Below are 12,936 nucleotides of genomic sequence, written 5' to 3' on the forward strand. Positions count from 1 at the left end.
TAATGGATCAGGGGTCCACTCCATTACAAGTTGAGTATGCCTTATCCAAAATGTTTGTGGCCACAAATGTTTCAGTCTTCATATTTTTTCAGATTTTGGAATATTTGCATTTCATTGACCAGTTCAGCCTCCCTAATCTGAAAATCCAAAATCTGAAATGCTCCAATGAGTATTTCCTTTGAGTGTCATGTCAGTGCTCAAACAGTGTTAATTTTGGACCATTTTTGAATTTTGGATTTTCAGATTTAGGATACTCAACCTGTAACAGTATGACCTCTTCTTGACTAATTATATTTGTGGAGACCCTCTCTCAAAATAAGATGACATCCTGAAATATTAGGAATTAGGATTTCAACATATCTTTTTTAGGGTAGGGAACACAACTCAGTCCATAACAGATCATATGATTTTTCTCTTTAGTTCTATGAATATGATAGATAATATCAATGGATTTCTAATACTTAACTTATTTGCATTACTATAATGAATCTCACTTTTTAAATTAAAAAGTATTTTTTTAATGAGCTGCTGAAGTCTGACTCCTGATATTTTAAGATTTTTGAATGATTTTCACAAGTGATAGTATTCTGTCATTTTCTTTTGGTACTATTTCAGGTTTCAAGATCAATATATTGCTTCATAAAAGAAAATTTGAAAAATGTCTTCATCTATGATCTGGAATATGTTAATTAGCATTGTGATTACCCATTTTTTAAATGATTGATAGAATGTTTTTGTGAAGCCAGCTAGGCCTGGTGCTTTCCATAGAGGAGTATTTTAACCCCCTTTCTCTAGCTGTTTTATGATAATTAGTCTGGTTAGACTTTCTTTTCTGGGATCAATTTTAGTAAGTTGTGTTTTCCTTAAATAATATCTATTTCATCTATTTTTAAAACTTATTTTCATAGAGGTGTACAAAGTAGCCTCTAAGGCTTTTAAAATTTTTCCTCTGCTTTTAATGATTATTTTTCCTTCAGTATTTAAAATTTTGTGCTTTTGTTTTTCCTCTTGTTCTTTCTTTATTAGATTAGCTAATGGTTTGTCTATTTTGTTGCATTTTTTCCCAATAACTCTATTTTGCATTTGTTAGTTTCATTGTTTTTCTCTTTTCTAATTTAAGGATTTATACTTTCTTTGAAGAGGTCCATAATTTTGGCAGATTTTTGGGATAATTCTGATTCCAGATTTGAGAATTACAGCTGTGATACGTGTAGTTTTTAATAGAAATTGTCATCTGGTGCTCCATTTTTTTCCCTTTAGTATTGTTTTTATATTATTGCACGCGTTTTTCTCTGTGTATGCATCTTATATGTGTGCAACAGATGGAAGCTCCTTGAGGCCAAGACTATGCATTGTATTTCTTAGGGACAATAAATATTGATATTGTGGCTATGAAATTAGAGAATTAATGTAAACATGAAGAACTTGTAGTATGCAGCTTCTGAAAAGGCTCCCAAGAATCCCTACCATTTACTACTCATATTCTTGTCTCACTCCCTCTGTCCTTCAGTGTGGGCTAGATCTAGGGCCTTGCTTCTATGAAGTAGAATAGGATAAAACTATTGGAATGTTACCTCCAAGATTGGGCTATAAAATACTTCTATTTTGTCCTGTTCAGACACTCTGTATGTCTTGATTTCCTCATTTGCTTGTTTTGGTGAAGTAAAGGGCTGTATAATGAGCTATTCTATGAAGAGGCTGTATAATGAGCTATTCTATGAAATGGCCCATGTGTTGAAAAAGAGGGAATGGCCTGTGGCCAACAGTCTGCAGCTAATTGAATCTACCAACCATCGTCTGAGTGATCTTGGAAGCAAATCCACCTCCAGTTGAGCCTTGAGATGATGTAGCCTCAACCAGCACCTTGACTGTGACCCTGTGAGAAACCAGAGCCAGGGGACCCAGCTAAAACCACTTGGATTCCTGCTCTGCAAAAACTTTGAGATGATAAATGTTGTTGTTTTAAGCTACTATTTTTATGTGATAATTTGTTATGCAGCAATAGATAATCAATACAGAACCCAAATTCTGTATACTTGTCTTGATCCAGGAAGCATTGCCCAATTGAAAACTGAACAGTCTAGTTGTAATTTGGAAGTAACGTGCTTTGCAGAGAAATAACTCTAAATCAGAACTTAAAATGCAATAATGTAATTAATACCAAAATTTTTCATTTATAATGAAGGTATTTTGACAACACTTAAAAAATTACTTTAACTTATTAAAGGTTACCAGGTGTCCCTGCCCCCATTTTTTTTTTTTTTTGAGATAAGATCTCACTCTGTTATCCAGGCTGGAGTGCAGTGGTGTGGTCATGGCTCACTGCAGCCTCAACCTCCTGGCCTCAAGCAATCCTTCTGCCTCAGCCTCCTGAGTAGCTAGGGCTACAAGTTCATGCTACCATGCCTGACTAACTTTTACAATTTTTTTGTAGCAATGGAGTCTCCCTGTGTTGCCCAGGCTGGTCTTGAACTCCTGGCCTCAAGCAATCCTCCGCCTCAGCCTCCCAACGTGCTGGGATTACAGGCATGTATGCCTGGCCAATTGTCTTTTGGAATAACTTATTTTTAGTGTGGCTTCTTTTAAAAAATTCTATCTGCACATGAGTATTTATAACATGCCAAGTGAATGACAAGCTGCCTAGATAAAATGTGTAGATTATGGCTGAATTATAACATGGATTTTTACTGTACAACATTTTAACCAACATTAGTTTCCTAATACTGGTGGAGACTGCTGGTTGCCCACAAAAAAATTCTGTCCTCCACTTCTTCCACAGGAATATAGCTTAAGCTTGACATAAGGTTGCCCTGCTAGAGATAACATTTCCAATTGTTTCTCACTGATGGAATGTTAGTGAAAGTGATGTGTGAACTTCTGCCTCACTTGCTTAATAAGACATTGCTGCTCAGAACACTCTCTCTCTTCACCCTTTCAGGAGCTGAACTTCAGATGTTCAGCCCTAACCCAGATTCAACCATGCAAAAGAGGACGATGACCTAAGGCTCAGTTTCAGGGCATGGTGGAGCAATAAGATGAAAAGAACCAGAGTCATGGAGTAGGGCCATGGAGCAGAGCTTCCTACTAACCTCAACTGCTTGCCTTAGAACCATTCTATGAAAGAGAAATACATGTCTGTGTTCCTTAAGCCACTCTATTTTGGGGTCTCTTTGTTATAGTAGCTTAACCTTTATCCGAACTAGTATTAATATATCCATCATTGATTCCTTTTAAATATGTCATTTTGTAATTGTTACATATATACAAGTGAGCAAAGTACAAATAACTGGATTTCTGCCCTGGCAAAAAAAAAAAAAAAAAAAAAAAAAAAAGGTCGGGGGGCGGGATGTGAAATGTATTTCCCACAGGTATGACTAGTGTTCAGTGATCAAAGAACTACAGGGTGTTTCTCTGGTATCAAGAAAAAAAAATTTTTTGCATGACTGCAAGCTACTATTTGATATCTCTGCACCATTACAGCAGTCTTTCAGTCCTACCACTTCTCAAAGATGTTGATTTTTGTTAGGTTGGTTGGGAAATTCATGTTCAGAATAATCAGACTGGGCCTTAGAAAAAAAAGGTTCTGGGGAAATGGACTTTACCACTGCCCAGGAGGCTCAAGATGTCCTACTCAAGATGTTCAGAGCCAAATTCTCTTGAGGATTCCTTCCTAGATTGAATGACTCCAGCACAATACACCTTCTTATCATGATCTCACTAGGCCTTATAGAGCTTGTCTCAAGGTTATTTTTACAAGAGCCTTATAAGAAAGACAAGAAGTGAGGATTATCATTTCATTACAGGGATAAACTGCGACATATGGTGACTTACATCAGGTGACTTGGTGAGCCACTAGAAGCTGGAATCAGTAACTGATCCTCCATGGAGATAAAATGCTCTGTCTACAAATACAATTCTTTGGCAATTAACTTAATGCTGCGTGTGCCATGTTTTGCTTTGCCTATTTTTCCTAACTGGTAGAAAGAAAAATCGAAGCACTAAATTCGGGAGACACATGATGCAAGTGCCTTCACAGGAAAACATATTTCTTTAACACATAAGCAGAACAGGTCCCCAACGATCACAGCTCCAGCTTCTAAAACCAAACCACAGGGTTTTGCCTCACACCTGTAAATGACAGCCAGAAGCATTGTGGAGAGATGCTTCCACCTCCTGGGCCGGACATTTCTGTGTGTGATCCCGCCAGACATGACAATAACTCTGCGTGTCTTCTGTAAGAGGAAAATGGTTTCCCTTAAGAGCTTCAGCATTCTCTCAGTCCCCTTGACTTTGCTCTCCAGACAGGACTGAGAAGCAAGAAAAGTAGAAACTAGGGCATGAAGGGGACTACATCATCCTGGAAAGTCACATCCCAAAGACATTCAGGCCTAAAAGGACAACTGAATAAATAAGGCATTGACAGGTGTTCATTAATCATTTGTGCAACCAAATTCTTAGTAGGCTTTGCATGGACAATCAGGAAACATGCAGGTTTCTGCTGCAAACGAAAGACGGGGTTGAATTGCACTTTTGTTGCAGACTGATCACCTGGGCCTAATTTGATTGTTGCCTCCCAAGGGATCTCTGAGCCCAGGAGGGAAATGTAGGAGGGAGGAGGGAAAACCAAGGCCGGCCTGCAGGATGTTTCCTTTGCTATCTTCTGCTGAGTGCTCTAAAGCAGGTGCAGGTGCAATGAGATACCTAATCCTGTCCCCAGTCCTCCAGCACTTTGTTCTCTTCTCGTTTAAACTCCCTAAATGGTCTGGTGGGGTTTTCCCAGTGTCATTGCTTAAAGAGAGGCAGAGCGGAAAGAAAGAAGTAGGAGAAAGCGGTAAGCATCTTTGTTCTCAATGCGGAAAACCCAGAAGGGACTTTCCTTCCCACCCACCTGAAAATGTTCCCCAGTTGCCAAATCAGAAGGGCAGGGGCAGCGACGCGGAAGATGACTCAGGGCCCACTTTGAACCTCCTGGGTACTTGAGCAAGCTCAAGGGTGTTCGGACCTCTAGGGAGACGTTGCATCACGCAGTTTGGAAAGAACTTGGGAATTCTCCCTGGGGGGCTCGCTGTATTTACTGGGAACTAGTCTTGCAGGAAGGTGAGAGTACGTGGCTGGCTGTGGGGAGCTGGCGTGGGAGGAAATCCGACTTCACCTTGGGCTCAGAGTTGCAAGGAAGGTCACTGTGGGATCAGCCTGAGCCCAAAAGGATGGGCTAATGGGAGCGGCCGCAGGTGCACGCGCGCTCGGCCGCTCCCATTAGTGTTACGTCTGCCGGGGGAAGAAGGTGGGGTGGGGGGTTGGGGGCGCCGGGAGAAGAGAGGCGCAGTTCGGAGATCGGCACTCCTCCGTCCAGTTACAGGCGGTCCTGCCCCCGTGGCCGCCCGGGGCCGCCCAAGCCCTCCGGGACGGAGAGAAAGGGGGACGCGTTGCGCAAGGTGGAGGCAGACACCTGGGCGGGCGCTAGGACCCGGGCGGCGCACCTGTTGGCTGGGCCCGGGGCCCCGCCCGCCCGGCCTCCGCCCGGAGTGCGGGATCGGCGGGGGCGAGGCGGGAGTGGCGGTGCCAGCGGAGGGCACCGGCCCGGCGTGGCAGCGGCGGCGGAGCGCGGCCCCGGGCACACCATGGCCGAGCTGCTGCGGAGCCTGCAGGATTCCCAGCTCGTCGCCCGCTTCCAGCGCCGCTGCGGGCTCTTCCCCGCTCCGGATGAAGGCCCCCGGGAGAACGGCGCGGACCCCACGGAGCGCGCGGCGCGGGTCCCCGGGGTCGAGCATCTCCCCGCAGCCAACGGCAAGGGCGGCGAGGCTCCGGCCAACGGGCTGCGCAGAGCCGCGGCGCCGGAGGTAACCATGGGCAGGTGTTCGCCGGGTACGGGGAGGGGGCGGCTGCGGACGTGCGGGTCCCTGCGACTCCGCCACGCGGGGCCGGCCGGGCCGAGAGGGCGCCGTCCCCGGCAGTGACCCGGCTCCCGCCGCTGCGAGCGGACGGGGAGGCCTGGCCTTCCAGTAACCAGGATGCCACCCTCCAACGCTGCCAGGGGCAACCGGGTCTATTGAGATATCCCCAGACGCTTTCAATGCAGTCCATTTAGAGACTTCCCACTTTCAAAAGTAGTTAAATTCACGTAGATGCCAGCAAATATGTAAGAGTTACGTAATGGAACGGAGGAGCGGGGATGTCCTTGGCACTTCCCCGGGGAGACGTTCTTAGACTCCCCCCCACCCCCGTATTCTTGCATTTCCGCCCATCCCCCTTCCCTGATGCGCACAAATGCGGGTGCAGCCGGGCTCAGCGCGCTCCTCACCGCGCTGCACCGCCAGCTCTGGGCACAGAACTTGGGGCTCACACAGCTCCTAGAGAGATTTACAACCTCCCTGCACTACCCCCGGCGATGATGTCTTAACAGCAACTCTCGCTTGCCCTCCCCCAGAGTCTGGGGGTCCCTCCTGCCTGGTGGGTCTTTTATGGACCGACACCAGTGACTTCTAACAGATGCTTCTGGGAGGGAAGCTCGCTACGCTCCCGCTAGGTGTTCAAAGCGTGGTTATACAACCCACTGCGGCTTGGGGGGAACCAGCGTGCGTCGTCGTCGCAGTGCACAGGGACTTTAGGCAGCAGGGACCAGACGGGCTGCACTTGGCTTCTGGGGACGCATGTCTACCGGGAGCACTGGCAGCACCTGCCTTTTCCCTCGGCAAAGTCAAAAGTGTGGCGCAGGAGAACAGAAATAAACGTATTAATAATTCGAATTCCTTGTACACAGCCACATTTTGTTCTTCCTAGAAGGTTTTGGTGAAAGAAAGGTGGCCTTTACTTACGTGTAAATTTCTAGATGTAGTAACTGAGGAATTACGAAGAACCTGGCTTCTGTGTGGAATGGAATATTATAGGCATTGGATTACAGAATTTGTTTGGGAGGGTGAGGGTGGTTGTGTGTTCTACTCCAGAGAAATCCTCCTCTGTATTTTTTCCTCTTTATTGTTCCTTCTTTATCCCATGTGACATTCCGGTAACCTATAGATGAGTATGAGAACCCCTCTTTTTTCTCTTGCCTTGTCTTAAAAACGGGGCAGAGTAGGGGGGATAAGAAATCAGCTGGGCGTGGTGGTGCGGCCTGTAGTTCCAGCTACTCCGGAGGCTAAGACAGGAGAATAGCTTGAGGCGGAGGTTGCAGTGAGCCAAGATCACGCCACTGCACTCCAGCCAGGGCGACTGAGCGAGACTCCGTCTCAAAAAAAAAAAAAAAAAAAAAAAAAGACCAAAACAAACAAACAAACAAACAAAAAACAGTCCCATGGCTGAAACGTGCCGTGACATATTCGGTGCACACACTGTTTACACCCACAGGTAGACACGTGAGTTGCTTTCTGTTGCTCTCTTCACAAGCTTCTACCCTGTTTCTCTAATTCAGGAAGCTGAAAAAGAGTGAATTGTTCCACCAGTGCTTCTCAAACTGTTTTAAACATCACCCCTGGTAACTTAACTTTAAACTCCACAGTTGGATCCTCTTGACCTTTAAAAGCAAGCTAAGCAGATTTCTTACACAGTTTTATCTTCTTACTGCTTGACAATCCTGGTGGGTCTTCAGTGAGTGAAATTGTGGCGGTTTCCCCACACCCACCCAGCCAACACAGGACTTCTGCTTACAGATCATGTAAAAGCAAGAAAGCTGAATGCCCAAGATAAGAAATCATTGTGTTGGTATATAATGGGGGAAATCATAAACTTGAGAGTGCTTGATAAATGAAAGGTTAATTAATGTTTTTACAGGTGGGTTGGTTTCAAATGACTTGGGAAGATTAATCCTTTACATACACACATTGATTCCCCCCCTCAAAAATTATCTCTTATCTACACTCAGGCAATTTACAGGACTTTAAGGGGGCAGTTGTGAAAAGTGTGCTGCCCTCTCTGCAGGCCTTTGTACAGGCGTTGGCCTGCCTGAGCTGCCTGTCTTTTCTCTAAATATCCTCCCCACTCATCCTTCTATTTCCAAAGGTCAGTTCCTCCATGGGTGACTTCTCTGACCTTCCAGCCTAGCTCCCCCTGCTATAGTTTTTCTTTGCTTTCTGCATTTCTTCATTACAGCATTTATCACGTTGTTTAAATGTGCCTTTGTGTGGATATCTGATTATTCCCCGCCCCTCCAGAGGATGATAAACTCTAAGAATGCAGGCAACTTTTCTGTTATGGTCCTTATTTTTTTCTCATAGCCTGGCACGTAGGAGGGACTAGTGACTTTTGTGAATACATGCATGTAGATTGCAATATAAAATTATAGTTTTAAACTTTTTTTTTAAGAGACAGGGTCTTGCTGTGTCACCCAGGGTGGAGTGCAGTGGCACAATCATAAGTCACTGCATCTTCCACATCCTGGACTCCTGCAGTTCTCCTGCCTCAGCCTCCTGTGTAGCTAAGACTACGGATGCATGCCATCATCTGGTTTGTTGTTGTTGTTGTTGTTGTTATTGTTGTTTTTTGTAGAGACAGGGTCTCACTATGTTGCCAAGACTAGTCTTAAACTCTTGGCCTCAAGTGATCCTTCTGCCTCAGCCTTGCAAAGTGCTGAAATTATAGACGTCAGTCACTGTGACTGGCGATGTTTCGTTTTTCTTTAAAAAAAAATGAGTGAATGTTGAAAATCAAGTGATTTTTCCGCATAGCCTAGAAGGTAGCACCAGGACGTTGATTTAGGACCCTTCAAACAATAGAGAAGTTTTCTTCTTCATTTGAGTGACTTTAGATCTTAATGAATCTGATTTACCTTCTCACCTTTCACATTGTCTATATTTGTTTTAATTTTGAAACAGGACAAGTGTTTCCTGTTTTCAAGTGACTAAAAGTTTCCTCTACAAGTTCTCATTACACCACACGCTGCTAGCTTAAAGATTAACTGCATCTTTTACAAACCAGGAGTGGGCTTGGCTTGTACAAGCCTGTCATTGAATAAATTGGACTGGGCCTTAGAAATTGCCCAGTAGTCATGAATTTCACAGAAAGTCTGAGTCCTGAAGGGTTAAGAGATTTATTGAGGACTTCCAGGATATCCACACAGTCAGGGGAAGTCAGATCTTTTGACTCCCAAGTCTAAACTTCTTTCCTCTGTGCAGATTCCAGGGAAAATTCCAGGGCCTCACTGTATCTGATTCACTGAGGTGTGTCCTGTTGGTACTGGCTGGGACAGGGTGGAGATCGTGTGAAAAGAGGTGGTATTGCTTTCAGTTTGCAAGGGTATCTGACTTGCAAGAGTAACTGTAGGAAGCCATTTTTGGTTATTGCTTTGGGAGGCACTGCCCTGAGCAGAAGGCAGGATCCTAGGACTGGGCCAGGAAGGTAAAGGTGTGATGAGAATTTCATTTATTTGTCCTGGGGTAAAGCCAGCCTCGTATATAATGGTATTTTGATTTCTAACATTTTTGCTTACTCAATACAGTTGTATTTAGTTAGACTCTGCAGTGCCTTCCTCAGCAGTACATTAGACTAAGGATCATCTTTTCTAATATCCCTGTGTCCAGTACTTTTTGATAACTGCTCAGACATAGTTCTCACATTGACTTAGGGAGAGGTTCAAAGATAAGTTGTTTCTAGAAATCTTAGACTCCTAGTTTCCCTCTTGAAACATTTGAGGCTCTAAATCTGTTAATCTACGAAACCTTGATTTCATTGGTGTGCTAAAGTACAAATACTACATCCTGGAAACCAGGAGACCAGGATCTAGTTTTACCTTCATGTCATTTTGGACTTCTCTGAACCTCGGTTGTCCCATCTGCAGAATGAGCAGAGTGGGGGAAAAAAAACATGGTTTTCTTTTTTTTTTTTTTTTTTTTTTTTGAGACAGAGTCTCACCCTGTCATCCAGGCTGGAGTACAGTGGCTCCATCTCAGCTCACTGCAACCTCTGCCTCCTGGATTCAAACGATTCTCCTGCCTCAGCCTCCCAAGTAGCTGGGATTACAGGCATGCACCACCATGTCCAGCTAATTTTTGTATTTTTAGTAGAGATCGGGTTTTGCCATGTTGGCCAGGCTGGTCATGAACTCCTGACCTTAGGTGATGTGCCTGCCTCAGCCTCCCAAAGTGCTGGGATTACAGGCCACCTCCCAAAGTGCTGGGATTACAGGCTGGGATTACCGCACCCGGCCAAGAACCATGGTTTTCTAACCATGGCTGTACAGTATAGTCACTTAGAGAAGCTTTCAAAACAAAACAAACATAAACCAATGTCCAAGATCCAGGTTAGAAGAGGGGTCCAGAGAAGCTGACCAACAAAGTTGGGAAGCTCTGAGTTCTCTTCTCCTGGGACCCACCACCCTTAGTATATTCAGTAGGAGGGTGGTGATGGCTGCAGGCAGTGGTCATGGCAGCCGTGACATTTTGGCTTCACCATAACTAAACTGGCCAACAGATCAGACTGCAAGTTTTTATTATCCTTTATTGGATGCTTACATCTGAAATGACAAAATGAGATAGTTCGAAAGAATATATTTGATCTTTTTTTCTAGTTACAGATATCATCATTGTTCACAGGAGAAAACTTGGAAACACACGAAGAGAAAGTTAAATTCATGCCCGTTATATCACCGCCCATTGCTAATCACTTAGTAAATGTTCAGCCCAATTTTTAATGGCCGCATGTTCCTCCACAGGATGGATATACTGTAATTTAGTCAGCTAGGTGCTGTGCTTTTGGTTTGTTTCCAGTTTTTGCATTAAAAATGATAACATCTTTGTACAAGTATCTCTCCACCTGTCTTTGATTATCTTCCAAATAAAATGTCCAGACTTGAAACTGTTGAGTGAAAAAAATGCATATATTATTGCTCTTAATAGCTACTACCGAATTGCCCTACAGGAAGAGTCTGCTAGGGCAAACCACTACGAGGGCAGGTTTTCCCACACACTCACCAATGTTAGGTGTTAAACCTCTCTTTAATCTTTGGAGAAAATAAACCACTTTGGCTTCTATCTCACCTTTGCTTTCTTCATTTCCAGTCAACATCCATTGATCACTACCATGTTTCTGGGACAGTCCTCAGACTTAGAGACATAAAGATCAATACAATTTAGTTTCTTCTGTGTGAAAGCCCAAATAAAAGGATGCAGTGCAAAAAATAAAAAAAATACTAGAATAGAACGATGAATACAAGGACAGGAAGACAATAGCAGGAGTAACTCACCTTCCCAGGGGAGCCCATGAAGTCTTGAGTTGGGGCTTAAAGAGTGGGTAGGAATCAAACAGGCAAAAATGGGAGAAGCTCTTTCTTTACCTGGATTCTCATGTGCTAGAACATAAAGACACGTGTCATTTTTGGTGAATGATGACAAGTTCAGCTTGGATATCATCAGAGTGTCAGCAGGAAATAGTTGGTCTACTTAAAAAGGGTGATCGAAACCTTAAAAATAGTTAAAATGGTACATGTTATGTATATTTTACCTTAATTTTCTTAAAGAACATAGGCTCTATTCCACCTTTTAGGGAAGGAAGCATAGCTCTCTATTTCTTTTCTTCTTTTTTGAAAAAAATAGAGACAGGGTCTCACTATGTTGTCCAGGCTAGTCTCGAACTCCTGGGCTCAAGCGATCCTCCTGCCTTGGCCTCCCAAAGTGCTGGGATTGCAGGCATCAGCCACCACAGCCAGCCTCCCTATTTCTTAAACATGGGCTGCACATAGTGACTTCCTTCCAAAAAGTGCGATATAGAAAGAGAAGGGGGAAAAAAGTAATTTTACAGTGTAGAAACTTGACAGACACTCCCTTGGCCAGATGATCAAGGTCAACATCACCAGTGGTAAGTCATGTTGACATCATGTTCTCTTGATGCATATTAAAATTATGTATTCTTGTTACATGTTGAGGGTCATTCTGCAAAATATCTGACCAGTACTCTTCAAAACTGTCAAGGTCATCAGAAACAAGGAAATTCTGAGAAGCTGTCACAACTCAAGAGGAGTCTAAGGAGGCATGACTAAATGTTATGTAGTATCCTGGATGAGGTCATGGAACAGAAAAAAAAAATTAGGTAAAAAATAAGGAAGCCTGTGTAAAGTATGGACTTCAGTTAATAATAATGTATCAATATTGTAACAAATGTATCATACCAACATAAGATGTTAATCATAGGGGTACCTGCCTACAGAGTATAAGGAAGGCTGGGAGTATATGGGAATTGTGTATTATCTTTTCAATCTTTTTATAAATTTCAAACTTTTCTTAAAAAAAAAAAAAGTCTATTTAGGCCAGGCATGGTGGCTCTCTTGAGGTCAGGAGTTGTAATCGCAGCATTTCGGGAGGCCAAGGAAGTCGGATCACTTGAAGTCAGGCATTCAAGACCAGCCTAGCCAACATGGTGAAACCCTGTCTCTACCAAAAAATATGAAAATTAGCCAGGTGTGGTGGCACACGTCTGATGTACCAGCTACTTGGGAAGCTGAGGCATGAGAATTGCTTGAACCCGGGAGTTAGAGGTTGCAGTGAGCCAAGATCATGCCACTGCACTCCATTCTAGGTGACAGAGGAGACCTTGCCCCCCGCCCCCCGCTCGAAGTCTAAAAATTTTACAAGGTGGGGGTAATTGAAGGACTATTTACAAAGACGTGGGCAGGGTTGGAAGAAAACCAACATGGGAGGATGAAGCATCTTGGAGCAAGCAACTTCAGCCTAAAAAAGCAAGAACAGGGAATAGGGTTCGGGTAACCCCAGACCCACTGAGAGCTTAGATGGCAGAGGGAATCCCCTGACCAGAGCTGAGGCCCTTAGCAAAGAAAGGCAGCCACAGCCAGGCAGGAAGAGGTTGAGGGGTGGGGATCAGATCTCAAGCTCATTCTCCATATGCCTTCTTTCTCATATCCTACCAGTGCCCCCACTTTAACCAAATTTAGCCCATAGTCAGGGAGCTTGGGAGCTGGCTGAAGCAGTCCATCAAGGTCAGCCTCCCTGGAGA

General features: G+C 44.1%; 1 protein-coding gene across 3 annotated transcripts in view, besides 9 other annotated features; it reads left to right on the forward strand.

The window, feature by feature from the left end:
- Positions 4,806-5,105: an enhancer, noted in NCBI's record as "active region_17160". NCBI's record gives its function as "activates an Ori minimal core promoter by ATAC-STARR-seq in GM12878 lymphoblastoid cells {active_cell/tissue: GM12878}" and the evidence as "EXISTENCE:reporter gene assay evidence [ECO:0000049][PMID:35858748]".
- Positions 5,007-12,936, forward strand: part of SGPP2 (sphingosine-1-phosphate phosphatase 2) — a 138,634-nt gene continuing 130,704 nt past the window's right edge. For 2 of the 3 annotated variants that reach the window (NM_001320833.2, NM_152386.4), the window contains exon 1: positions 5,562-5,840. Coding sequence is in view for 1 of the 3 variants with exons in the window: in NM_152386.4 (NP_689599.2) it covers positions 5,622-5,840 (219 nt within the window). In the remaining 2 variants the exon portion in view is untranslated. Of the gene's footprint in view, positions 5,098-5,561; positions 5,841-12,936 lie in introns of those variants that run through there. The other variant, NM_001320834.2, reaches the window with a different exon arrangement.
- Positions 5,266-5,615: a silencer, noted in NCBI's record as "silent region_12369". NCBI's record gives its function as "represses an Ori minimal core promoter by ATAC-STARR-seq in GM12878 lymphoblastoid cells {active_cell/tissue: GM12878}" and the evidence as "EXISTENCE:reporter gene assay evidence [ECO:0000049][PMID:35858748]".
- Positions 5,706-5,935: a silencer, noted in NCBI's record as "silent region_12370". NCBI's record gives its function as "represses an Ori minimal core promoter by ATAC-STARR-seq in GM12878 lymphoblastoid cells {active_cell/tissue: GM12878}" and the evidence as "EXISTENCE:reporter gene assay evidence [ECO:0000049][PMID:35858748]".
- Positions 5,946-5,995: a silencer, noted in NCBI's record as "silent region_12371". NCBI's record gives its function as "represses an Ori minimal core promoter by ATAC-STARR-seq in GM12878 lymphoblastoid cells {active_cell/tissue: GM12878}" and the evidence as "EXISTENCE:reporter gene assay evidence [ECO:0000049][PMID:35858748]".
- Positions 6,296-6,445: an enhancer, noted in NCBI's record as "active region_17161". NCBI's record gives its function as "activates an Ori minimal core promoter by ATAC-STARR-seq in GM12878 lymphoblastoid cells {active_cell/tissue: GM12878}" and the evidence as "EXISTENCE:reporter gene assay evidence [ECO:0000049][PMID:35858748]".
- Positions 6,496-6,555: an enhancer, noted in NCBI's record as "active region_17162". NCBI's record gives its function as "activates an Ori minimal core promoter by ATAC-STARR-seq in GM12878 lymphoblastoid cells {active_cell/tissue: GM12878}" and the evidence as "EXISTENCE:reporter gene assay evidence [ECO:0000049][PMID:35858748]".
- Positions 8,704-8,773: an enhancer, noted in NCBI's record as "active region_17163". NCBI's record gives its function as "activates an Ori minimal core promoter by ATAC-STARR-seq in GM12878 lymphoblastoid cells {active_cell/tissue: GM12878}" and the evidence as "EXISTENCE:reporter gene assay evidence [ECO:0000049][PMID:35858748]".
- Positions 8,984-9,103: an enhancer, noted in NCBI's record as "active region_17164". NCBI's record gives its function as "activates an Ori minimal core promoter by ATAC-STARR-seq in GM12878 lymphoblastoid cells {active_cell/tissue: GM12878}" and the evidence as "EXISTENCE:reporter gene assay evidence [ECO:0000049][PMID:35858748]".
- Positions 9,264-9,313: an enhancer, noted in NCBI's record as "active region_17165". NCBI's record gives its function as "activates an Ori minimal core promoter by ATAC-STARR-seq in GM12878 lymphoblastoid cells {active_cell/tissue: GM12878}" and the evidence as "EXISTENCE:reporter gene assay evidence [ECO:0000049][PMID:35858748]".

The sequence above is a fragment of the Homo sapiens genome, chromosome 2 (assembly GCF_000001405.40).
Source record: "Homo sapiens chromosome 2, GRCh38.p14 Primary Assembly".
In the NCBI taxonomy this organism is placed as follows: domain Eukaryota; kingdom Metazoa; phylum Chordata; class Mammalia; order Primates; family Hominidae; genus Homo; species Homo sapiens.